The sequence below is a fragment of the Homo sapiens genome, chromosome 2, assembly GCF_000001405.40.
Source record: "Homo sapiens chromosome 2, GRCh38.p14 Primary Assembly".
Classification (NCBI taxonomy): domain Eukaryota; kingdom Metazoa; phylum Chordata; class Mammalia; order Primates; family Hominidae; genus Homo; species Homo sapiens.
The window spans coordinates 130,276,303-130,303,416 of record NC_000002.12 but is presented as its reverse complement, the minus strand read 5'-3'; the positions used below and the strand labels follow the sequence as shown (position 1 = coordinate 130,303,416).

At 44.1% G+C, this 27,114-nt stretch overlaps 9 pseudogenes; 1 reads left to right on the top strand and 8 right to left on the bottom strand.

Annotated features, from left to right (window-relative positions):
- RPL19P4 (ribosomal protein L19 pseudogene 4) lies at positions 8,938–9,628 on the bottom strand (annotated as a pseudogene).
- On the bottom strand, positions 20,088–20,738 carry MTCYBP8 (MT-CYB pseudogene 8; annotated as a pseudogene).
- MTND6P8 (MT-ND6 pseudogene 8) lies at positions 20,811–21,332 on the top strand (annotated as a pseudogene).
- Positions 21,338–23,112, bottom strand: MTND5P29 (MT-ND5 pseudogene 29; annotated as a pseudogene).
- On the bottom strand, positions 23,322–24,681 carry MTND4P27 (MT-ND4 pseudogene 27; annotated as a pseudogene).
- Positions 24,678–24,973, bottom strand: MTND4LP15 (MT-ND4L pseudogene 15; annotated as a pseudogene).
- Positions 25,040–25,359, bottom strand: MTND3P15 (MT-ND3 pseudogene 15; annotated as a pseudogene).
- MTCO3P7 (MT-CO3 pseudogene 7) lies at positions 25,460–26,233 on the bottom strand (annotated as a pseudogene).
- Positions 26,230–26,910, bottom strand: MTATP6P7 (MT-ATP6 pseudogene 7; annotated as a pseudogene).

Genomic DNA, 27,114 nt, shown 5'->3' with positions numbered 1-27,114 from the left:
TAGTTATTTGTGTAACTAATTATGCAACTATTTTTTTTCCTCAACTCTAAAACACAGTAAGGGACCAGTTATTTTAAAAATACACCACAGGGACAAGTAGTTTCTTTTTAACTCAGTTTTGGTTTGTTGTTTGTTAAGGCCATTGGTTGGCATAAAGAAAACAAAAACAGGAAGAGAAACAAGAATAGAAAGATGAAACAGAAGCAGCAGCAAAGAAAATGAAGAGGAACAAGAAAATAAGAAGAAGAAAATACAAACTGGAAGAAAGGAAAAAGAACAGATGTAGGAATTGGAAGGCCTATTATGATACCTTTTATCCCTTCCCCGATTCATGACATTTGAAAAAGTCCAAGACTATCACAACAAAAAACAAGCAAAAAGATACACAAATAGTTAAGAATCTGTGTATCTTTTTGTTAAGAATGAGACAATGGTGCCACTCACGCCTGCCTCAGGCACTAGCAGGAGGAGGGCACCCTTTAGAGATGGCAGGAAAAGGGGGAGGACTCCTTCTTGCTCTAGGTGCACCTCCACCACTGCCACCATGGCCCACAGTACAGCACCGGCAAGTTCCTCCCCACCCCAGGTCGGGCTGGGTCCTGCAGTGCTCCAGATCCCCAGACTTGCTGCTGCTACCACCACTAGCACCGATGCCAATACAACTGCTGTCGCCCTCAATGCGCCAGCCCACCCTGCAAGGATCCTACCACCTGGACCCGCAGTAGCCCTCCTACTGCTCCGGGGGAGCTGCAGTCTCTGTTGCTGCCACCAACCGCATAAGGCGAGCTGCAAAGCCATGCCATCTGCAGGCTCCAATGTACCATAGATGACTCCTCCTCTTCCTCCTCCTCCAGCCTGGCTTGGAGCAGCTAGATGGGCAAAGCTAGAAAAGCCTAAAACGGGATGCAGGGAGTGGTAGCATTAGAGCCTCACCTTGTCACGCTGGCCACTGGGTGGCAGGGACCAGTTTCAGCAAAGGCACTCACACCCACCCTCCAAAGTCCAGCCTCTCCTTCTGGCAAAAGCTGGCCAGGAACTGGGGCCCAGGGTGAGTGTGTGTGCCTTTGCTGAAACCAGCCCTAGGTCAGGTCCTGCTGGACAGAAATTGCTGGGTCCACCAGGGCTGCACTCCTCAGGGAGCAGGAGTAGGAGAAACTCAGGCCCAGCCAGCCCTGCCCACCCAAGTTCTGGTTCCCGTTCCTGATGCCTCCACCCACAGTGCCCTATCCCCCCACCCCCACCACAGTGGTGCCCACTACTCCCTGCCCAGTAGTCCCAGGTTGTCTCTGCAACACAGAGCATGAGAGCATGGGCCAGAGAACCACGGTGGGTGTGGGGGCCCTGTCATACTCAAGATTGTGCAAGGAGGAGGAGATCACTCTCTAGAGTCTGGAATTGGGGAAGAGGAGAACGGTCCCTTCCTTGGAGACCACCTGAAGGAGGAAGGAGGCCACTGCTGTCACTGCCACCTCCGCAGCCTGCCAACGCCACTAGCAGTGTAGCCCCTGATAGCACCCCTAACCTGCCGCCTGCTGCCTGCCACCAACAGTGTAGCCCCTGGATAGCACACCAAACAAACCCCGCACCAGCTGCAGGGTGTGTAACCCCAATATCCCCCCCAAAGCACCCTCCCTCCCCCAGAGCAGGCAGTGTAGCACCCAATAGTGCCCACAACCTGACCCAGCCATGGGTGTTGCTGCACTAGATAGCACCCGAAACCTGCCCCCCCAACCCCACCTCGAGCAGTGCAGCTCCTGATAGCGCACCCCCAGTCACGGACAGTGCAGCACCCGACAATGCCCCTAAACCACCCCCTACTGCCAGCATTGTAGCCCCAAAGAACTCCACCCAACCCACCCCCTGCCACCGGTAGTGCACAGAAGATAGCACCCCAACCCATCCCCCTCCACTGGCAGTACACGTTAGTGCACACAACCTGCCTCCCCACACCACCCCCACCACTGCAGGCAATGTAGCCCCCCATAGCCAGCCAACCTGCCCCACTGCCAGCAATTCAACCCCAGAGAGTGCCCCCAACCAGTCTCCTGCCACAGGCAGTGCAGCCTCTGGTGGTGAGACCCAATGGGACACCCAACCCCTGCCCCCAGAGGCAGGCAGTGCAGCCCTGGAAAACTCACCTACCCCACAACATTTCTACCACTCTAGCTGAGCTGTAGTGTCCGACGTCACCACCAACCCCAGCGAGGGGAGCCTCGGTGGCGCAGGCTTCAGCCTCCAACATGCGGCAATGCCTCTCCCTTCTCCTTGTCCTCCAGCCTGGCAGGAAAAACTCCCACTGCCCGTCGCCCTCCTACTGCTCCGTCGCCACCACCAACCACAGCTAGCCAGTGCCCCGGGCTCCAGCCAGTGGCAGGCAGTGGCCTCTTCTCCTAGTTCTCTAAGCCACGTACACAGCGCTAACACAGAAGAGCCTAAAATGACCTGACACTGCCTCTGCATGCTTTATATACTGAGGTTACGCACCTGCGGTTCCTGGACTACATGTTCTGATTGGATGAGAGAAAACCCGAAGGCCTACTCTAATTGGACTTTACTTTCATGCTGTGATTGCTTGTTTTAAGACTTGCTCTCATCCAATCAGAACATGATAATAAAGTCCAATCCGAGTAAGCCTGGAGGTTTTTTCTCATCCAATCAGAACATGCAGTACAGGAACCCCCATGTGCATAACTCTGATGCCGAAGGGAAGTCAGGCCCTTCCAGTTTCCCATACCTTCGTGTTGAGTTGCTCAGTCTCTGGCTTAGAGGACCAGGAATGGGAAATCCCCAGCTGTAGGCTGGAGCGTGCAACACTGCGGCCCACCTCGCTGCGGTTGGTGGTGGCAACAGAGACTGCAGCGTGGCTGGACTGTTGAGCTGCTCAGTGCCTGGCTTGGAGGACCAGGAATGGGAAATCGCTGGCAGTACGCTGGAGGCTGGAGCTTGTGACCCCACAGCTCGCCTCCCTCTGGTTGTTGGTGGTGACTGTTGGTGGTGGCCACGGAGACTGCAGCGCGGCTGGAGTGGTAGGAGAAGGAAACTAGTTTTGGGATAGATGGAGGGGGCTAAACAGCGTGGTTGGTGCCAAAGGGAAAAGAGGGTAGCGAGCACGAGAAGGCGTTGCAAAAGGACGGTGGGGAAAAGATGGTGGGGAAAAAGTTTTGGGGTAGATGGAGGAAGAAAAAGGGTGGCGAGAGGGAGGGGGCCAAAGGCGGTCGGGAAAAGAAGGTGGGGAAATAATGGTGGGAGACAAAGGTTTTGGGTAGATATTTTTCTGATTTTTAAAATCAGATTATTTGTATTTTTGCTTTTGAGTAGTTTTATTTCTTTATTTTTTTTTATTAACCCCTTGCCTGATGCATAGTTTCCAAATACTTTCTGCCATTCTCTGGATTGTTTCTTAATTCTACTGCTTCCTCCACCTTGCTGAAGCTTTTAAGTTTAATGTAATTGCATTTGTCTATTTTTGCTTTTGTTGCTTGTGCTTTTGATGTCTATTTGAAAATTCCTTGTTCTAACCAATTGAATGAAGCATTCATTCTATGTTTTTTTCTCCAGTGGTTTCACAGTTTCAGGTCCTAAATCTTTGAGTTGATTTTTGTGTATGTTAAGATAATGGTCTAGATACAGTCTTCTACATGTGGGTTGGGCTTTCGTAGCACAGTTTATTGAAGAGATTGTCCTTCCCGAATGTGTGTTCTTGGTGCCTTTGTTAAAAATGAGTTCACTGTAAATGTGTGAATTTCTGTTTTCTGTTTTATTTGTCTATGTCTGTCTGTCTGTCATTCGTCTCTTTCTCTGTCTCTCCTGCCCCGCTTTTTTTTGACAGTACCATGTTGCTTTGGTTACTATAGATTTGTAGTATATTTTGAAATCAGGGAGTGTCATGCCTCCAGCTTTTTTCTTTTTTTTCAAGATTATTTTGTCTACCTGAGGTATTTTGGATTTCCATGTGAATGTTAGTTTTTTATTTCTATGAAGAATGTCTTTTGTAATTTAACATGGATTGCACTGTTTCTGTAGATCACATTGGGTGATATAGATATTTTAACAATATTCTAGTGCATGGACATAGGATATGTTTCCATGTACTTGTGTCTGCTTTAATATCTCATCAATGTGTTATAGTTTTCATTGTGGGATCTTTCTTAAAGAAGAGATGTAGTTGGTTTCCTTGCCTAGATATTCAAAAGTTGATAGGATTTTATTCATGGTATAACATAGTTAAAAGTATTAAACATAATTGTATTTAGTTTTGTTGAATACCTATTTGTGTGGTATATTACATTTATTTTTGTTAATATTAAATTTTAAATATTTTAAGTGTACTTGTGCATCTTATATATTTATATTATATACCATTATTTTACTTTGGATTCTCTCATTTAAAGTCATAGCCAAAGTTATCCTATTATTCATTTTTTGTGCTATACATTTAATATTTTCGTATATTTCTTTTTTCTATTTTCAGCTAGTATATATTGCATTGTATTTAAAACCACCACAAGAGGCAGGAAATGGGGAGTTGTTACTCAGTGGCTTTAGAATTACAGTTTTGCCAGATGGGAAATTTCTGCAAATCTGTTGCACAGCAGTGTGAATATAGTTAATACTTATGATCTGTACACTTAAAATGATTAAGATGGTAAATTTTATATGTATTTTTGCTATAATTTAAAAACCACCATCACAGGTTTGAAGTATAAATAGTAACTTATTTTGTATAATATTGAGTAGGTTCACATCAATAACAAAAGCCTAATACTAATAAGAGCTAATTGACTTATTTATAATATAGTCAGTGATGGAAAAATTCAAACTCACTGTTACCTCAGATATATACATTTGAAAGTTATGACATTTATCAAAGAAAATGACAAATATTTAAAAATATTTGAATACTTAAATATCATGCTTACTGTTTGCAGAGTTTTAATCACTCTATGAAAGTAAATTATTAGGGTAAAACATCATGCAAAACATATTTCCTGAAAAATATATACTTGTCCTGTGCTATTAAAATATTGATAATCAATAAATTCCAGAGTTCAATCCAAATTCAATCTCTTGACAATTCAGGAAAGTCACAACATGAAAAATTCTATTTCTGAAATATTGAAGCAAGCATTGATAAAACTAGTAAGTGAGAAGAGAGGCTTTGTCATAGCAAAAAATACATATGTACATTTAAAAAATTTCGGGCATAATTATTTTTGTATCTTTTTGCTTGTTTTTGGTTGTGATAGTCCTGGATGTTTTCAAATTTTATGAATCAGTGAGGGAAAAATAGATTTATCGTATAAGAGGGTTTCTAAATTCCCTCACCTGCTTTTTCTCCTTTCTTCTTGACTTGTCTTCATCTTCTCATCTTATTCTTGCTCCTCTTCATTTTCTTAGCTGCTTTTTCTATTTCTTGTTTGTATTCTTATTTCTTCTCCATCTCTTCCTCTTCCTTTTTTTCTTTTTTTCCCTACACAATGGAATTAACAAACAACAAAGCAAAACTGTATTACAAATAAATGCCAGTGTGTTGTATTTTTAAAAAATAATCTGTCCATTACAATGTTTTAGAGATGTGGCAAAAAGTTAGTTGCATAACTAGATACTGGAATAGCTATGTTTTTTTAAAGATCTATAACCCTACTAATATGTTGTAAATAGTTATTCAAGGAATAAAAAAATTTAATGCTAATTTTATATTAGCAGCATAGAAAATATTAGTGGCAGAAACTATTTCACCTCAAAGCTAAAAGGAAATTCTTATATAACATGATAAATAATGCAACCACTATGCAAGAAATCACAATATTATCGTTGTATTTGTCTAAATGTTATTTGAGAATCTTCAGTGCACATATTTAAGAATTAGCTTTAAAGGAACATTTTTTTCCATATGATAAATCATACACATGATAAACTTAGACCAACATTAATCTTATTAGGAAGAATAAATTAGAGAATAAGTACTCACTAATGTTTTGGGTTATATATACCCTTTTCAAATCTGTTGAAATTTTGCATTCTTTGATGAAAAAAATACACTATGTGAGTTTATTTTATGTCAGTTATACCTCAAAACTGTTATAAGTAATTTATTTCAACTGAAATGATACACCTTACTTTTGATCTAAGAATTATGTAGTTTTTGATGCTGAATCTTTACCAAGCACAAATTCATTGACTTGTAGCCAGTCAGTCAGTTCAAGTAAAATCATTAAACACATTCCTGAACTATGCAAAATAATATTTACCATATTGTTATGTGAGTTTAACTTGATTTATAAATATTAAGGTAAATTAACTTAATTTCTTTTCTACGCTAATGAAATAATGTCTTAGCAACAAATCTTGAATATCTGAGTTTGATCTGATATCACAGAAGAAGGTCTTCCAAGCACATATACAAAGAAGAAAAAAAGAAAATATTAATGCGTTGGAAATAAACAAAACTAATCTGCAGCCAAAAAGCTTATAAAATAATTAACAAAAGGTAACAAAATGGAAAAAATGGCTTTTAAATAAACCATACCTGATAAACCAGATAAATCTTACCCATTGGCTACAAATTAGTTACAGAACTCTAAAAAATGGAAAGTGATCAAAACATATAAAAAGACCAAAAATTGCAAATTTCTACAAAAATAAAAATATACTTAACCTCATTATTACAAAAAAGATAAGTATGTTCCTTTTGCCTCCACAATTGATGGATTTTGAAATGACACAGATATTGAGAAAAATGGGTAGAAGATAACCTGTTACACACTTCTATTGGATGTGAGAACACACAACATGTCTACAAAAAAATTTTAAAACACAGCTAATAATTCTATACTAGTATAAGTTGTTCCATAACAAGACATACAATACTGTAGATCAGACAACTAAAGATATACAAATACTGTGGCACAGACAAAGTAGAAATATATATTGTCACATATTAGTCTGGATATATGCAAAAGTCACATGGGTAATAAACTCCAATTTACGTGATCATTAAGTGAACTATATTTGCGGAGTCCTGATTGGGGAAAAGAAGTCAGGCTGGTAGGAGCAAGGGAAAGCAAAAAGAGAAAGCAGATAAGCCACAAATCTGCCTTTCTTCATGGTCCAGGACTCATAGCTGTCCTGCACAAGTAGCTCACTGTCTTCCTGTGCCCAGCTATCACCAGACACCTGCAAGTTAGCTCACTGCAACCTTCTACACAAAGCCTTCTTCAATAGACAGCATGAACACCGTGCTATAAAATCTCTGGCAAGCTTTTGTTTCCTTGCAGTGAGCTTCTGCTGACTTGCCCATTGTCTCCCTGGTAACATATTTTTCTACTTTCTCTAATAAATCTGCCTTTCTTTACCTACAACTCTCTTTGTAAATTCTTTTACCCCTACACCACCAGCCATCATTCTCCCACAACAATATTCTTTTCATTTTATTTCTCTGCCATCATTTCCAAAAGTATTGTCATCTGCATGAACAAACCTGGTTTATCACCATGACTTTGCAACGGGAAGGGGAAGGGGGTAGAAGATGAAGTGCATGTTTTAAGGCCAAGATTTAGTAAAGTCAGTGATCATTTCCACTCATATCCCATTGTTACAAACTGTGGCACATAACCATAGCTGTTGGAAGGTAACACTAGCCAATAAGTCCTCTAGATGGATAATTAAAATAACTTTAATTATTAGCTTTATTCATGGTAGTTTATTCACTTTCTTTTTTTGTTTTTGTTTATATTTTTATTCCGATTGGTTTTTGGGGAACAGGTGGTATTCGATGACATAAATAAGTTGTTTAGTAGTGATTTCTGAGCTTTTGGTGCACCTATTACCCAAACAGTATGCACTGTACCCAATGTGTAGTCTTTTATTCCTCACTCCCCTCCCCACTTTCCCCCAAGTCTCCAAAGTCCATTATATCTCATGCCTCATGCCTTAAGTGTTCCCTTTTCACAATATGCATGTCAACATCTATTTTTTATTATTATGGCCATTCTTGCAGGAGTAAGGTGGTATCACATTGTGGTTTTGATTTGCATTTCCCTGATCATTAGTGATGTTGAGCATTTTTCCTTATGTTTGTTGGCCATTTGTGTATCTTTTGAGAATTGTCTGTTCATGTCCTTTGCTCACTTCTTGATGGGAGTGTTTGTTTTCTTTTGGCGGATTTGTTTGAGTTCTTTGTAGATTCTGGATATTAGTCCTTTGTCAGATGTATAAATGAATTCAACAAAGTTTCAGGATACAAAATTAATGTACAGAAATCAGTAGCTCTGCTATATACCAACAGAGACCAAGCTGAGAATCAAATCAAGAACTCAACCCCTTTTACAATAGCTGCAAAAAAAACCACACACACACACACAAACCCTCTTAGGTTTATACCTAAACAAGGACATGAAAGACCTCTACAAGGAAAACTACAAAACACTTCTGAAAGAAATTATAGATGACACAAACAAATGGAAACACATCCCATGCTCATGGGTGGGTAGAATCAATATGGTGAAAAGGACCATACCGCCAAAAACAATGTACAAATTCAGCACAATTCTCATCAAAATACCACCATCATTCATCACAGAGCTAGAGAAAACAATCCTAAAATTCACAGGAAACCAAGAAAGAGCCCACATAGCCAAAGCAAGACTATGCAAAAAGAACAAATCTGGAACATCACATTACCCAACTTCAAACTCTGCTATAAGGCCATGGTCATCAAAACAGCATGGTACTGATATGAAAATAGGCTCATAGATCAATGGAAAGAATACAGAACCCAGAAATATAACCAAATACTTACAGCCAACTGATCTTAGACAAAGCAAACAAAAACATAACATGGGGAAAGGACACCCTGTTCAACAGATGGTCCTGGGACAATTGGCAAGCCACATGCAGAAGAATGAAACTAGATCCTCATCTCTCATCTTTTTTTTTTTAAGGCTTGTTTTATTTTAATGGCTGATCTATGTAATCACAGAGGGCAGTATGTACAGACAAAGGGGGAGCTTTTATTTCTTGGTCTCTTCCTCTTTGGGCAGTCTTGATGATCTCTTCCTTCTTGGCCTGGAGGCACTCTTCAAGGTGCTTGCGTGCCTCCTAGGTCTTAGACCTGGGGGCCTCAGCCTGGTCAGCCAGGAGCTTCTTGTGGGCCTTGTCTGCCTTCAGCTTGTTGATGTGTTCCATGACAATCCACTTGTTTTTGAATACATTCCCCTTTACCTTCAGGTACAGGCTGTGATACATGTGGCCATCAATCTTCTTCGATTCACGGTATCTTCTGAGCAGCCGGTGCAGTATTTTCCTCATCCATGTGACCTTCTCTGGTATTTGGGCATTGGCTGTACGCTTCTGCTTACCTATGCCCATGTGCCTGCCCTTCCGGCAGGCCAAGGTGTTTTTCCAGCATTGAGCCTGGGAATGGACAATCACAGGCTTGTGGATGATCAGCCCATCTTTGATCAGCTTCTGGATCTGCTGATGAGAGTTGGCATTAGCAATTTCATTGGTCTCAATGGGGTCCAACTAGACCTCCTTCTTGCCACAGTGGAGGACACTAGAGGCGAGCCTCTTCTGAAGCCTGAGCAGTACTCATGGCTGCAGCCGCAGCAGCAGAAGGAAAGAGCTCTGTCATCTTATATAAAAATCAAGTCAAGATGGATCAAAGACTTAAATCTAAGACCTGAAACCATAAAAATTCTAGATGATAACATCAGAAAAACCCTGCTAGATGACTGGCTTATGCAAACACTTCATGACCAAGAACCCAAAAGCAAATGCAACAAAAAGATAAATAGATGGGACTTAACTAAAAAGCTTCTGCACAGCAAAAGAAACAATCAGCAGAGTAAACAGACAACCCACAGAGTGGTAGAAAATCTTCTCAAAGTTTATTCACTTTCAATCAGTTCTAATTGAAAGTTGCCACATCCAAAAAGCTTTTGTGGTCATAGTTCTTAAACTTATCAAACTTCCTCTTATATTTAATGTTGCCTATATTCTCCCAAATCTCCTCTGTCAGAAATTCAATGGTAATTAATTTTATGGCATCTGAAACCTCTTATTTTGATATGCAGATTACCTGGCAATCATGCGGATAAATAAAAATAATGCAGTGCGCTTCAAAAGTTTCTAAGCAAAGCAACTCCTTCTTTTTGTTGTAGTTTTCACTTTTAGAAGTAGATGCATTTTTATACCAAATTCTCGAATTTGATACTCACAGAATGTTTAATTTTGAGGGTTCTTTGCATATTATGGATCCCAGCACTGGTTGGAGACAGAATTTGCAAATCCAGGCAGACTAATTTTATTGCACTTTACTTTATTGCTTTATTTTTATCATATTTTGCAGATATTGCTCTTTTCTTCTTTTTTCTTTCTTTCTTTCTTTTTTTTTTACAAATTGAAGGTTTATGGCAAAACTGCATCCAAAAAGACTGCCATTTTTCCAATAGCATGTGCTCACTTTGGGTCTCTGTGTCACATTTTGGTAATTCTCGCCATATTTCAAACATTTGAATTATTACTATATCTGTTATGGTGATCTGTGATCAGTGATCTTTGACGCTATCATTGTCATTGGTTTGGGGCACCATGAACAGCACCCACATAAGACGGTGAACCTAATCCATACATGGTGTGTGTGCTCTGACTGCTGCACCAGCCAGCTGTTTATCCAGCTGTCTGTATCTCTCTCCTCAGACCTCCCTATTCCCTGAGACCCAACAATATTGAAAATACAATAATCTGTAAGCCTGCTATGGGCTCGTAAGTGTTCAAGTGAAAGGAGGAGTTGCACATCTCTCACTTTAAATCCCAAACTCAGCTACCGAGGAAAGCATGTGGAAAGCTCAGACCAGCACGCTAGGCCTTTTGCACGAAACAGCTAGCCAGTTGTGAATACAAAGGAAAAGTTCTTGAAGGAAATTAAAAGTGCTAAGCCAGTGAACCCACAAATGATAAGAAAGCAAAACAGGCTGGGTGCAGTGGCTCACGCCTGTAATTCCAGCACTTTGGGAAGCCAAGGTGAACAGATCTCTTGAGCCCAGGAGTTTGGCCAGATCAGCCTGGGGGCAACATGGTGAAACCCTGTCTCTACAAAAAATAAAAAAATTAGCTGGGCATGGTGGCACATGCCTGTAGTCCCAGCTACTCGGGAGGCTGAGGTGGGAGGATTGCTTGAGCCTGGGAGGTCAAGACCTCAGTGAGTAAAGATCGTGCCACTGCACTCCAGCCTGGGCAACAGAGGAAGACCCCATCTCAAAAAAAAAAAACAAAAAAAAAAAAGAGGAAGAAAAAACAGCCTTATTGCTCATATGGAGAAAGTTTGAGTGGTCTGGATAGATCAAACCAGCCCCAATATTCCCTTATGCCAAAGCCTAATCCAGAGCAAGGTCATAAGGCTTTTCAATTTCATGAAGGCTGAGAGAGGCTAGAAAGCTGCAGAATAGAAGTTTGAAGCTTAGCAGAGGTTGGCTCATGAAGTTTAAGGGGGAAAGAAGCCATCTCCATAACATAAGAGTGCAGGGTGAAGCAGCGAGTGCCAATGGAGAAGCTGTGGTAAATTATCCAGAAGACCTAGTTCAGATCTTTGATGAAGGCAGCTACACTAAACAACAGATTTTCAATGCAGATGAAACAGTCTTCTACTGGGTAAGATGCCATCCAGATCTTTCATAGATAAAGAACCAAAGTAAATGCCTTGGCTTCAAAGCTTCAAAGGACAGGCTGACTCTTGTTAGGGGCTAATGCAGCCAGTGACTTGAAGTGGAAGTTAGTGCTCATTTACCACTGCAAAAACCCCAGGGCCTTAAAAATTATGCTAAACCCACTCTTCCTGTGCTCTACAAATGGAAAATCAAAGCCTGGATGGCAGCACATCTACTTACAGCATGATATGCTGAACACTTTAAGCCCACTGTGAGACCTGCTCGGGAATAAAGCTTCCTTTCAGAATATTACTGCTTATTGGCAATGCACCTGGTCACCCAAGAGCTCTGATGGAGATGTGCAAGGAGATGAATGTTGTTTACATGTCTGCTTACACAACATCCATTCTGTAGCCCATGGGTCAAGGAGTAATTCTGACTTTGAATTCTTATTAAGAAATACATTTTGTAAGACTATAGCTGCCACAGATAGTGATTCCTCTGATGGGTCTGGGCAGAGTAAATTCAAAACCTAGAAAAGAATCACCATTCTAGGTGTAGTTAGACATCTAGAACATGTGTGATCCATGGGATGAGGTCAAAATATCCACATGCACAGGAGTTTGGAAGAAGTGGATTCCAACCCTCATGGGTGACTTTGAGAGGTTCAGGACTTCAGTGGAGGAAGTAACTGTGGATGTGGTGGAAATAGGAAGAGAACTAGAATTAGAAGTGAGGTGGCCAGGTGCGGTGGCTCAGGCCTGTAATCCCAGCACTTTGAGAGGCCGAGGTGGGTGGATCACGAGATCAGGAGATCGAGACCATCCTGGCTAACACGGTGAAACCCTGTCTCTACTGAAAAAAAATTAGCCAGGTATGGTGGCACACACCTGTAGTCCCAGCTACCCAGGAGGCTGAGGCAGGAGAATCGCTTGAACCTGAGAGGCGGAGGTTGCAGTGAGCCGTAATTGTGCCACTGCACTCCAGCCTGGGCGACAGAGCAAGACACCATCTCAAAAAAAAAAAAAAAAGAAGAAGAAGAAGTGAGGCCTGAAGATGGGACTGAATTGCTGCAGTCTCAGCATCAAACTTGCATAGATGAGTTGCTTCTTATGGATGAGGAAAGAAAGTGACTTCTTCAGAAGGAATCTACTCCTGGTGAAGATGCTATGCACATGGTTGAAATGACAAAAAGGACTCCGAATAGCACAGAAACTTGACAAAGCCACAGCAGGGTTTGAGATGATTTTGAAAGTAGTTCTACTGTGGGTAAAATATCAAACAACACTGCATGCTGCAGAGAAGTCTTTTGTGAAAGGAATAGTTCTTCAATGTGGCAAACTTAATTGATGAATCTTGTTTTCAGAAATTGCTGGTCACTCAGGAACCACCACCCTGATCAATCAGCAGTCATCAGCATCAAGGAAGCAAAGAGATTATGTAGGACTCACTGAAGGCTCAGATCTTCTATAGCATTTTTAAGCAATATTTATTTAGTGTTTTTTTTTTTTTTTTTTTTTTTTTTTTGAGATGGAGTCTCGCTCTGTCACCCAGGCCGTAGTGCAGTGGCTCAATCATAGATCACACCAGCCTCTAACTCCTAGGCTAATGTGATCCTCACACCTCAGCCTCTTGAGTAGCTGGGACTACAGGCGTGTGCCACCATGCTCAGCTAATTTAAGAAACTTTTCTTTGGTAGAGATTTGGTCTCACAATGTTGCCCAAGCTGTCTTGAACTCCTAGGCTCAAGTGATCCTCCCACTTCAACCCTCAAAGTGACATTTACAGGCATGAGTCATGGCACCTGGCTAGCAATAAGGTATTTTAAAATTAAGGAATGTACATTGTTTTAGAGGCAATGCTATTGCACACTTAATAGACTATAATATATGTAAACTCCACTTTTGTATGCACTGGAAAACCAAAAAGCTTGTGTAACTGGCTTTATTTCCCTATTTGCTTTTATTGTGGTAGTCTGGAACAGAACCTGAAATGTCGCCCAGGAATGTCTGTCTTTTCTACTGGTTTGTATTTTATCATTTAATCCTCTTAAGATAGTCTTTCACAGAACCTAGGTTTTAAGTTTTGATGAACTCTGATTTATCCAAATTTTTATGGGTCATGCTTTTGGTATCAAGCCTAAAATATTTATCCAGCTCTAGGTCCCCCATTTTTCTTTTAGAATTTCTCCCTTAAAGTTTTATAGTTTCATGTTTTACATTTAAGTGTGTGACCCATTTGCAGTTAGTTTGTATGAGTGAGGCGAAAGAGTATTTCATTTAACAGTTCATCAACATTTACCTTATTTTAAAAACTCCATAAATTCATAGTATTGTGTTGTATGGATGTACTAGGATTTATTTAAGTAGGTCCCTCTTAATGCCTATTATTTCTTCTTTCTTTCTTTTTTTGTTATTATGGTAAGTAATGCTGAAATCGACATTCTTTCTTTTTTTTTTAAGAGATGGGATCTCACTGTGTTGCTGAGGCTGGTCTCCAACTCCTGGCCTCAAGCGATCCTCCTGCCTCGGCCTCCCAAGGCACTGGGATTACAGGCGCAGCCACTGAGCCCACCTGAAATCGATGCTCTTATACAAATATTTGCACAACTGCGGCCCACACCCATTTGTTGTCCTTTGGCTTGGTCGCACTGCAGAAGATAAATTTGGTGTGAATGCCGTGGTTAGCTTCTCAGCCATGTCCTTGATGGCTTCTGGGCTTTGTTTTAAGGTTTAGAAAGAACTGCACTCGGAAATGGTGGCGTTAAAAGGGACTCATCCACTTTCTCTCGCAGTCCTTTCTTGGTTTCAGGTTTCAGGTCCATGCCTGCCAGGAACCCGTTGGGCAAGTCCTGGCCAGGCGCCCCCGGCCTCCTCGCCTGGAGCAAGGCCCTGTCCTCTCCGGAGCTGCGACCCCGCAGGCGCGGCCCCGGAGCTGCAGGAGGAGTCGGTCGCCTTCTCGCAGCTGCTCTCGTGGGACCGGAGGTCCCAGACTATGAACAAATGGTCCAAGTGCCCCCTCTGCTGCCGGGGTCGCACTGTGCCTGGCTGTGGCGTTGGGGAGCTCCAAAGCTGGGGCTCTGGGGTGGTGTCGGGGCCCCTCCGCCCACCCGGGCCGGGACGGCGATCCCAGGTGGACCCGGACGGTGTCGGGCGTGCGGGTGGCAGCTGCGATGGCCCTCGCCAGCCTGCGATCTCGAGCCGTCCCGTAGGTGTTTGCGCCGTTCATCGCGCGCTTGCTAGTGGCCTTTTTAAGTACTTTCCCGGGAGCTTGGCCGAGGCTCCATCCCAGGGCGCGGGCGGACCTCCAAGTCACCTCCACGCGGTAATCTCATCACTGCGATGGGGGGCAGTTTCTCACTCTCCCTCACGAAGTTTAGGACCACATGAAAGTCCTGAACATGCTTCCAGTAGGACCTGTTAAAAGGTGAAGCCTTGGCCTGGCGAGTGGCTCACGCCTGTAATCCTAACACTTTGGGAGGCTGAGACGGGTGGATCACGAGGTCAGGATATGGAGACAATCCTGGCCAACATGATGAAACCCCCTCTGTACTTAAAAATTCAAAAAATTAGCTGGGCGAGGTGGCACACACCTGTAGTCCTACCTACTCGGGAGGTTGAGGCAATGGAATCGCTTGAACCCAGGAGGCGGAGGTTGCAGTGAGCCGAGATGGCGCCACTGCACTGCAGCCTGGAGACAGAGCAAGACTCCGTCTCAAAAAAAAAAAAAAAAAGTGACGCCTTTAAGGACAGAGATGGAATGGGCATCTCAGGCAACGTGGTCCTAGTGACAAGGTATTTGGGGGATGAGACAGATACAGGGCCGCCCTCCTGTACCTCCACGGGTCTTTTCACGTGACTCTGGCTGGGAAGAGGGCAGGGCAGGCGTGGGGCTGGGTATGGGTCCGGGCAGCCAGCGACCACAGGGAGGGCACTGCAACCAGGCACAGGCTGGGAAACCGCGCAGAATCCGGCAAATCAATCAATCCTCCGAGCATCTTTACTACTGAGGCCAGCCCGGGACCACACGCTGGCCTCTTGCCCGTTTGCTTCTGCTTTTTTGTTTTCTTTTCTTTGCTTTCCCTTTCCTTCCTTCCCCTTTCCTTGACAGGGTCTAGCTGTGTCGCTGAGGCTGGGGCTCAGTGGCCCTCTCGGCTCACTGCAGCCTCGGCCTCCCAGGCTCCTGCGCTCCTCTCGCCTCACCCGAGCAGCTGGGACCACAGGCGTAGCCACCACGCCGGCCTCGGCATCTGTGTCCTGCGCAGTCCCCTGCGGGAGTGGGGTCAGAGACTGCGGCCAGGCCTCTTGGTTCCAGGTAGCACAGCAGGGCCCTGCCGGGCGCGCCCCCTGGGGCAATCTCCCATGCTCTCGGGCAAAGAGCAGCAGCCATGGGCCTGGCCATGCTCTGAGGACGGAGAGGGGAGCCCAAGCCCAGCCGCCGTCATTCGCAGTGTCCCGTGGGAATTGTTCCAAGTTCACCTTCCGAAGACAAGGAACGGTCTCTGCACATGTACGTGAGGGGGCCAGGAAGAGGCCGGGCCACCTGTGGGGCAGCTGCATGCCTTCCTCGGTCTGCGGGTCCCTCCCCGCGGATCCCTCCAGGGTGCCTCGGGCCTGGCGGTCGGGCACCTTCTGGCAGCCACTTTCTTTTCCTGGCTGTGTCCGCAGGCTGGCCTCCAACTCTGGTCTCAAGCTGTCCTCCTGCCTCAGCTTCCCAAAGCACGTGGATTCCAGGCATGAGCCACAGTGCCAGAGCTGGAGCCTGTATTTTAATTTATGAATTAGTCTGAGACTCTGGGAGAGTTTCTTCATCCTGTATCTCCCAGTGTCCTAAACGACCCATGACTGAGTCCTGTTTATCCCTTCTCCAGTATGAATTCCAAAAGGCTTCTCTCCATTTCCACAACCGCCAAACCACTGGGCCCTGAGGGGGTGCACTATGGGCAGGGACGGGCAGCCAGAGACCAGCTCGCACCTCTGTGGCATCATCCCAGGGGGTCCCACAAGCTTCCCCTGTTGCTGCCAAGTGGCAGAAAATCCAGAAGGCCTCCCAAGCACAGCCCTGGTTGGGGCTGTGGTCCTCTCCTGTCGGGCGAGGACAAATGAGGTCATGGAGAGGTCAAGATGTCACACATGGGATTAAGGTCACAGAAGGGTGAAGTCAGTCTCCTGGTTGGGAATCAGGGGCTCCCTGGGGGGAGTCTGTTTGCCTTGAAGAGACAGTGTCCAGTCCAACAGGGGTCACTCACTGCGCCTCCTTTGGCTCCTTTTGAGCCAGTGTCCCTGTGACACAAAGAACAAGAAAGAGCCAGTCACGGCAGGGGAAAGACAGGATTCAGGAGTGCAGAGGCCAGGTCCCAAGTCCACAGCAGCCTCGAGTTCCTACACAGGAGGGGCAGGCCTGAGGAAATCTGGGGACATTGGAGCTCTGGAAGTGTGGGGAGGAAGCACTGGAGGCATGAGGACAAATGGGGACCCTGAGGACTTGGCGTGTTACACTGGAAGTCAAGGGAGGCAACAGTGGGGTTCAGGATTTAGTGCAGGAACAGAAGCAGTGCTCACGGGGAGGCCAGGGAGTCTCCAGGACCAATGGGGTGGATGCTCCTGGGGTACCCTAGGGAAGGACCTGGCTCAACTGGGCCCTCCTCCCCCCAAACTCCAGAGCATCTGCTCCCTCACCCACAGCTGAGTTTTAACCCCATCCTCCCACTCCCCACCCCTCCCCCCACCCTCCAGGACCAGGCCCTGTACTCACCTCTCCCTTTCTGTTCAGGGGAGCCCTGAGGGCCAGGAAGACCCTGATCCCCATTCTCTCCCTGCTCCTCCAGGGGGCCCAATCAGTCCAGTGAGACCTGAGCGGCCCCTAGAGAAGGGAGCAGGTGGTCGGGGAACACAGGAGGAGTCACATGGATGGGGGAGAAAGGCCAAGACACAGAGAATGCCCTGGGCACAGGGTCTGTGGGTGGCCCTCACTGAGCAGGGACCCCGGGGCCTGGCGGCTGGGGGCCTGGAGCAGAGCAGGCCCCTCAGAGTCCCACAGGCTTCAGGGCTGAGGGTGATGGGAGACACACCTGGCCATGTGTTTGTCACTCACCTCTTCCTCGGCTCCAGCATCGCTCCCAAAGCCAGGAAGCCCTGGGGGTCCCTTTGGGGAGACAGGAAGTCCCTCTCTCCAGAGAGAGGCGGTAACTCGGTTCTCCCATCGCCTCCCACTTCCTGCAGGGTCTTAGCTGGCTGCCTCAGGGCGCCCACCCTCACCCCTCACCAGCCCCATCCCAGTCACTCACCACAGGACTGGAAGGCCCAGCTTGGCCTGTGGCTCCAGGTCGGCCTTGCTGACCCTGCAGATTTGAGGGGACCCCAGGGATGAGGAGGAGCACCCCACATTGCACTCCTCTCCGGGCTTTTCACCCTCCTCCCCAAGCCCAGCCCTCGCCTGCAGTGACTCACACTGAACCCCAGAGCCCCTCAGACCATCAGCACCAGCTGGGCCTGTGGGACCCAAGGCACCCACAGCACCTGGAGGCCCTGAAATGCACACAAGGAACGTGTCCTGAAAGGCAGCAGAGGGGATGTGAATTGGAGCAGGGGTTCAAAGTGGAAGGGGTGAGGCAGGGAGGAGGGCCCGAAGCCTGGGAGCCCCAGAGCAGCAATAACTATAGGAAACCCCATCCCCAGGAGGGGTCAACATGGGATACATGGATGGGGGTGGGTAGACATCTGGAGACGAGGCACCTGAGGGGCAGGAAGGCAGAGGGGAGGCTCCAGCACCCAGGGGCAGCCTCTCTTTCACCTGGGCTTTACTCCTCATTGGCTCTGGGGACCAGGCATGCCAGTGAGACCCTGCAAATGGGACGGGAAGGGAGAGAACATGAGGCCTAGGCAGCCAGGCGCCAGTCTTCCCCTTTCTGTGCTACACACACACACACACACACACACACACTGCACACATGCACATACTATAGACACATTGCACACACATGGCACACACACACAGATGCAGAGGTCCTGTTGTGAAAATGCAGAGGCGTCTGTGCATTTGGGGAAGAGCCAGTCGCCCACACCCCACCTGGTGGCCCAGGTTAACCTCTGGCCCAGCAGAAAAGCTGGCCCGTCCCTCCACCAGTGTCCATTGATTGGTCAGTAAACATGACCACCGCTGTTGAGAACATGTTCACCAAACCTCAGGAACAACATACCCAGGAGGTCACAGACTCATAAACCCGTGTGCTCATGCCCCCCCGCCCCATGCACACATCAGGGACAGCACAGATAGCAGGCATCTCCCTGCCCGCCCCACCAGCCATTGCCCAATCTCTACCACATGGCCCAGGGACTGCCTCCCAGGGTCCCAGAGCCCACCTCACTCACCCACTTGACTAGTGGCCCAGGGGGTCTGTTCTCCCCAGTGGGACCAGGGAATGCCTAGGAAGAGAAGAACTGGGATGGGTGTGTGTTTGGCCTCCAGCCAAGGGACCTCTCAGGCGTGGGTATAGAAGAGGGCTAAGGGGCTGAAGGCTGGGGCTCAGTGGGGGTGGTGGGGTCACTGGTCATTCACAGATTGTCCTGGTTCGCCATCCTTGCCACAGTCACCCTTAGCACTGTCCTGGCCCTGCAGGGGTGAAGCAAGGCCAGAGGAGGCCCCAACCTGGCTGGCATCACCCCTAAAACTGCCAATCCTCCCATCCCCCTGCCTGTCCTGCCATATCTCCAGCTTCCCAGTACCCAAGCCCATTAGCCACATGGAGGCTCCTCATAGAAGCCCCACCCTCTTTTCCCCTTCCCCCTCCCTAAGACACCCAAGTCACCTTCTCCAGGGGGGTCAGGGTCTCCAGGAAAATCAAGACCCTGATCCAAAGAGAGAACAAGGATCAAGGTCACAGCCCCTTAAGCCCGCTCAACACAGACTACCACAGGCACATGCCACCCTCTCCCTCTGTACAGACAGTGCCTGCCACCTTGCCGGATCTGTCCCACAGACCCTGGCTGATGGATGAAATGAGTACTCAGACACAGGTATGCAGTGTAAGGCAGCTAGGTGACTGCCCAGCCCCAGTGGCCAGAGAGCAGCTGTGAGAAGCTGGAGCTGCTTGCTTTTATTCAGTGCAGGCACAATGGTGAAAACCTGGAGCCGACACAACCTGTAGGTAATTAACATTTATTGTTCCCCTTTCAGGGAACGTCAGGCGCACGGATGATCAAAGGTCAGTTCCTGGTTGATGTAAGTGAACAATCTTGTTTAAGAAAAATTCCCCCACACTCCCTTGTAGCTACTCCTTGCCCTCTACCTCAGGGTTATAGAACAGCTGCCTTCAGCTATTCTCCTCCTGGGGCTCTGTAGAAACTTCCGACCTTTCAGAAGGTTTGTGTCCTTTCCCTATAGTTTTTCCCACCACTCTGACCAATCCCCCACACCGCCTCCCTAGGAAGAGGGTCTCTTTTATCGGAGTGTGATGAGATTTCCTGAGGGGTTATTAGACCCTGTTTCGTGAAGGAATAGGTGGTGGAGAATTGTTAGGGCTATAATGATGAAAGGTAAGATGAAATGGAAGGTGAAGAATCGTGTAAGAGTGGCTTTGTCAACTGAAAATCACCTCAGATTCACTGGGCAAGGTCAGTCCCGACATATGGAGTAGCTGATATTAGGTTTGTGGTTACTGTGGCGCCTCAGAGTGATATTTGGCCTCATGGAAGCACATAGCCTATAAACGCTGTTGCTGTGGTTGTAAGCAAGAGAATAATGCCAGTGTTTCAGGTTTCCAAATATGTGAATGAGCCATAATATAAGCCTCGGCCGACATGTAGGAAGAGGCAGATGAAGAATGTTGAAGTACCGTTAGCGTGAAAAAAGCGGGTAATTCAGCTGTAGTTCACATCTCGGTTAATATAGGCGACTGAAGAGAAAGAAATTGAGGTATCTGGTGTGTAATGTATGGCCAGATATAACCCTGTGATGATCTGAAGGATTAAGCAGGTGCCAAGAAGTCAGCCCAAGTTTCATCATATAGAGATATGAGATGGAGTGGGGAGGTCGATGAGTGAATAATTAATGATTTTTATTAGTGGATTTGTTTTACGTATTATGGTCATTAGTGTTCTTATAGTTGAAATATGACAATGGTTTTTCTTATCATTAGTCATGGTTATAATCCATGTGGGAATAATGACATACGCTTTGTTCTGATTAAGTGTTCTTTTGGTTATGGGATTTGTAGGTTTTTCTTCTAAACCTCCAATTTATGGGGTCTTAGGGTTAATTATTAGTGGTGCTATGGGTTGCGTTATTGTACTAAATTATGGTGGGGCTTTTATGGGATTAATAGTCTTTTTGATTTACTTGTAGGGGATGATGGTTGTTTTTGGCTATACTGCGGTGGTGGCTATTAAGGAATATCCAGAGGAGTGAGGATCAAGCATTGTGGTTTTAGAAACGTTATTATTGGGTTTAGCAGTAGAGTTGGTGTTAAGTTGATGAGTGAGTATGATGGACTGGTGATTGTAGTTAATTTTAATAGTATGGGAAGTTGAATAATTTTTGAGGGTGAGGGGCCAGGGTTGGTTCGTGAAGATTCTGTGGGTGCGGGTGCTTTCTATAATTATGAGTGTTGATTGGTGGTGGTTGCTGGTTGAACATTGTTGGCTGGTGTTGATGTTATAATTGAAATTACTCAGGGCAACAGATTAAATACTTAAGAGTAAAGTCAAAAAGGATGGAATAAAAAAAGAGGAAATAAGATTTAAATAGGCCTTTTTGAGTACTTATAGTAACGGAGGCTGTGATTTGGGTTTGTGAAGTTGTTTTTGGTATGGACTTTTCTAGTCAAATTAGATCTAATAGAAGTGATGCCAGGTTTTGGCTTGTAGATAGGCTTGAGTGAGGGGTTATACAGTGAATTGTGATTGAGTAAAATCCTAATATGTTAGAAAAGTTGAATATTTGTAATGGGTGTTTTATTGTAAGATTATTAGTTATAGAACTCAGTTCTATAGCCAGTAAAAGCCCTAGGATGTTTACACCTAGGGCTGCAAGTTTTAGATGAGGTGCTATTGTTGTTTGTAGGGATGAAGCAGGGACAATGCTATTGGTGAGGAGAAACCCAGCGAAGATGCTGTCAACTATAAGGTGTTTAATTGGATTTATTAGGGAAGGAATATTTTCATTAATGTTGATTAGGGTTGGGAAGTGGGGTTGTCCTATTAGGGCGAAGAAGATAATCTGGATACTATAGACGCTTGTTAGGGAAGTGGCAATGAAAATAATAAGAGAGGGCTCAGGCGTTGGTATATGACGTGTTTGCAGTTTCGATGATGAGATCTTTAGAGTAAAAGCCTGTGAGGAAGGGCATACCCATAAGTGCTAGGCTGCCAATAATAAGGGAGGAGAAAGTAAGGGGTAAAGTCTTAAATAGTCCTGTTTTTCAGATGTCTTGTTCATCGTTGAGGCTGTGGATGATGGATCCTGAACACATAAATAATATAACTTTGAAAAAGGCGTGGGTGCAGATGTGTAGGAATGCTAGGTGTGGTTGATTAATGCCAATTGTGGTTATTCTAAGGCCTAGTTGACTTGAGGTGGAGAGTGCTACGATTTTTTCAATATCATTTTGTGTTAAAGCACAGATTGCTGTAAAAAAGTGGTAATAGCTCCTAGACATAGTGTAAGGGTTTGGATTAACACATTATTTTCTATTAAGGAGTAGAAACGAAGAAGTAGGAAAACCCCTGCCACAGCTATATTACTAGAGTGGAGTAGGGCTGAGACAGGGGCTGGGCCTTCCATGGCGGAAGGAAGTGAGGAGTGGAGGCCAAGTTGGGCTGTTTTTCCTGCTGCTGCTAAGAGAAGGCCAATTAATGGAAGAAGATCGGGGGTAGGATTTAGGATAAATATTTGTTGAGGCTCTCATGTATTGGAGGATGTGAGGAATCATGCTATAGCTAAAATGAAGCCAATATCGCCAATGCGATTATGTAGGATCACTTGCAGGGCTGTTGTATTAGCATCTGCTCAGCCATGTCATCAGCCAGTTAGTAGAAAAGACACAATTCCTATGCCTTCTCATCCAACAAAAAGTTGAAAAAGTTGTTGGCGGTAACTAGAATTAATATTGTGGTGTGGAAAATAAGTAAATATTTGAAAAACTGATCAAAATTAGGATCTGACTTTATATATCATATTGAGAATTCTATAATCAGGTGACAAATAGTGCTACTGGAATAAACATTATGGAGAAGTAGTCTAGTTTGAAGCTTAATGAGAGTTTAAAGGTTTGGATTGTTATTCAATATCAGTTTGAGATGATGGGTTATTGGTCTGTATATATAAACATTGTTGTGGGAATGAGGCTAATGGTGAAGGTGCATGCGATAGCTATTTTTATGTAATATGGGTACGAGTTCTTCTTGTAAGGGTTTATGAAGGTAATAATAATTGGTAAGGTTAAGGAGATTAAGGTTATTATGGTAATATGTGATTATTACTTTTATTTGGAGTTGCACCAATATTTTTGGTTCCTAGGACCAACAGATAGCTCTTATCCTCTAAAAGTTGAGAAAGCCATATTGTCAGGCATGGGGGCATGAGTTAGCAGTTCTTGCACACTTTCTTGGTAAATAAGAAGCAGCAGACTTCTATTATTAGATCCACAATCTAACATTTTGATTAAACTGACTGTATAATAATTTTAGGGTTTAGAGATAATAGGAGAATAGGTGAAAGGTGTATAAATATTAATATATTTTCTCATGTAAAGGAGGGCTTAATACTGTTAATATAATAAGTAAGTGTTCATCGTTGTGTTGTGACAAGTATGTGATGGAGATAAAGGGCAGTGATTAATATATTACATCCTATAAGCATAATGGTAATATTTGATCAGGAGAAAGAAGCCACTATTACGAGGAGTTCTCCTATTAGATTAGTGGAGGGGGGTAAGGCAGGGTTAGTAAGATTTGCTATAAGCCATCAAAAGGCTATTAGTGGAAATAATGTTTGAAGCCCTCGAGAGAGTAATATGGTTCGGCTGTGGATTCGCTTGTAGTTTGAATTTGCTAGGCAGAAAAGTAGGGACGAAGTAAGTCCGTGGGCAATTACGAGGATAATTAAACTGGTAAAGCTTCAGGGGATTTGAATAAGGATAGCCATAATAACAAGTGCCATATGGCTTACGGAGGAATATGCAATAAGTGACTTTAGCTCAGTTTGTCATAGACAGATAGAGCTTGTCATAACTATACCTCATAAGGATAACATGAGGAAGGGATAGACTATATATTCTGTCAGGGGGCTGAGGATAAGGGTTAAGTCGTGTTATGCCATAGCCGCCTAGTTTTAGGAGTCCTGCTGCAAGTACCATTGAGCTAGCAATAGGGGTTTCTACATGGGCTTTAGGAAGTCATAGGTGAAGTCCGTATAGGGGTATTTTTACCATAAAAGCCATTATACACACCATATAAAGTTGTTGGATCAGGAAATCAATAGTTCTTGGGTATTAAAAAATGTTATTATTATTATGCTCAGTGAGCCTAGGATATTTTGGGTGTAAGTAAGTATAATAAGTAGGGGGAGAGATCCTACTAGTTTGTAAGGTAAGAAATATGTGCTTGCATTGAGGCATTCTGGTTGGTTGCCCCAGCGGGTAATAATAATTAAGGTGGGGATAAGTGTAGCTTCAAAGAGAATATAAAATATAATTAGTTCCGTGGCTGTAAATGCCATAATTAGAAAAACTTGTAGGGAGATCAATATGGAAATATAGAGCTTTTTCTGTGGGAGGGATTCACTGGAGAGGTGATACTGGCTTGCTATAATTATAAGAGTTAATGGCCAGGCTGTTAAGATTAGAAGGGGTGATGTTAGGGGATCAGAGGAGAAAAGTTGATGAGAAGTTGAATAGATTGTCGTTGAATTGATTAAAGAATAATAGGGAAATAAAGCTGATAATTAGGCTGTGAGTGGTTATATTGATCCAGAGTATAGGATTATCAGAGAGTCATGTTATTGGTAGCAGTATAATTGTTGGAATGATAATTTTTACCGTCGAAGTAAATTTAGGTTATGCACATAGTTTAAGCCATATGTGTTGGAAATTGAAACTAGTAACGCAAGGCCCACTGCGGCTTCGCAGGCAGCAGATACTAGTAGGGTGATGGGTACTACGTTGCTAGGGTAAAATGTATACTTAAAGTTAAAAGGGTATTTATGATGAATAATGATAATATTATTCCTTGTAGGCATAGTAGGGATGATATTAGGTGGGATGGATAGATTAATACCCCCAGAAGTGACATGGTGTATGTGAATATAATATTTATGTAAATAGAGGGCATTTGGTAAACATGTTCTGTCATAACTAATGAGTCAAAATCATTTATTTTGGCTTAAACTACTTACCAATTCAGTTCAGTCTAATCCTTTTTGAGTTCATTCATAAGTTAACCCTAGGATTAAAATGATAACTAGCATAAAGGATGTACTAATTATTAGTGTCAGGTTGTTTGAAGGGCTCATGGTAAGGGTAGCAGTAGGGTGATTTCTAAGTCAAATAGGAGGAATGTGATGGCTACTAGAAATAATTTTGTGGAGAAAGGAATGAGGGCAGAGGATAACGAGTCAAATCCGCATTTGTAGGGGCTGGATTTTTCTGTATAAATATTAAGTTGTGGGAGCCAGAATGTAATAGCTGTAAGTGACAGGGCTAGTAGGGTGTTGATTACTAGGGCTAGTGTTAGGTTAATTACTCTTTTTCAGATACTATCGAAACTAATTGATTGGAAGTCAATGGTACTGTTTATACTAAAAGAGTAAGACCCTCATCAGTAGATAGAAATATATGAGAATAGTCATACTACATCTACATAGTGTCAATATCAGGCGGTGGCTTCAAAGCCAAAATGATGGCTGGATGTAAAGTGGTATTTTAATTGGCAGAGAAGGCAGATAGTAAGGAAAGTTGATCCAATAATGATGTGAAGTCCATAAAAGCCTGTAGCTATAAAAAATGTTGGGCCATAAATTCCATCAGAAATAGCAAAGGGAGCCTCTAAGTATTCTGAGACTTGTAGGAGGGTGAAGCAAATGCCTAAGATAATTGTGAAAAGTAGTGCTTGAATTACTTGTTTTCGATTATTTTCTATTATGCTGTGATGGGCTCAAGTAATTGAAACCCCTGATGCAAGTAATACAGATGTGTTCAGGAGGGGTACTTCCAGGGGGTCGAGGGGAGAAATGCTTGTTGGAGATCAGTGTCCTCCTAATTCTGGAGCTGGGGCTAGACTAGAATGGTAGAATGCTCAAAAGAATCCAGCAAAGACAAATACTTCTGAGATAACAAATACGACTATTCCACATCGGAGGCCTTTTTGAACAGTTGTTGTATCATGGCCTGGAAATGTACTTTCTCGGATAATGTCACATCACCATTGATATATAGTCAGTGTATTGGTTAGTAGGCCCAGGGTTAAAAGAGTAATAGAGTTAAAGTGAAGTCATATAGCTAGGGCGGATGTTATTAGGAGAGCTGAGAGAGCCCCTGTTAATGGTCAAGGGCTGGGTTTGACTAAATGATAGGTGTGTGTTTGGTGGGTCATTATGTATTGTCATAGAAATAAAGGCTTACTAAAAGCGTAAAGACATAAGCTTGGATAAGGGCCACAGCAGATTGGAGCATGGTTAATAGAATTAGAATAATAAAGGTGATTGAAGCTGTGGGAAGGTTAGTAGTTGATAATACTAGTGTGGCTCCTCCAATTAAGCGCATGAGTAAGTGACTGGCTATAAGGTTGGCTGTTAGACGTACAGCTAGTGCTGTTGGTTGAATAAATAGACTAATGGTTTCGGTGAATACTGGTATAGGAATAAGTGGTATGCGTGTGCCTTGTGGTAGGAAGTGAGCTAAGGAGTTTTTAGTTTTAAAGCGGAAGCCTGTGATTACTGTGCCTGCTCATAAGGGGATTGCTGTAGCTAGATTTATTGATGGTTGGGTAGTTGGTGTAAATGAGTCTGGTAGGAGTCCAAGGAGATTGGTTAAGGCAATAAAGAGAATTAGAGATATCAGTATAAGGGATCGGGCTTGTCCTTTAATGTTACGTATAATTATTTGTTTTAGGATAAGTTGAACTAGTCATTGTTGAATAGAAATTAATCAGTTATTGACTAGATAGTTGGAGGTTGGAAGGAGTGTGGAGGGGAACAAGATGATTAGTGCTGCTGTGGGTAACCCTAGGATTGTTGGGGCGATAAATGAGGTGAACAGATTTTTGTTCATTTTAGTTCTCAAGGGTTGTTATGTTTTTGTACTTTAACTGTTTTTGGTGAAGGGGGTGTATGGTAGATGAAATTTGAAATTTTTAATTGAATAATGGAAAATAAAGTTACGATTATTGATACAATAATAGGTCATGTGGAGGTATCTAGCTGAGGCATTCACTCTAGAGAGGTATGATTTCTCTCGATCTTTAACTTAAAAGGT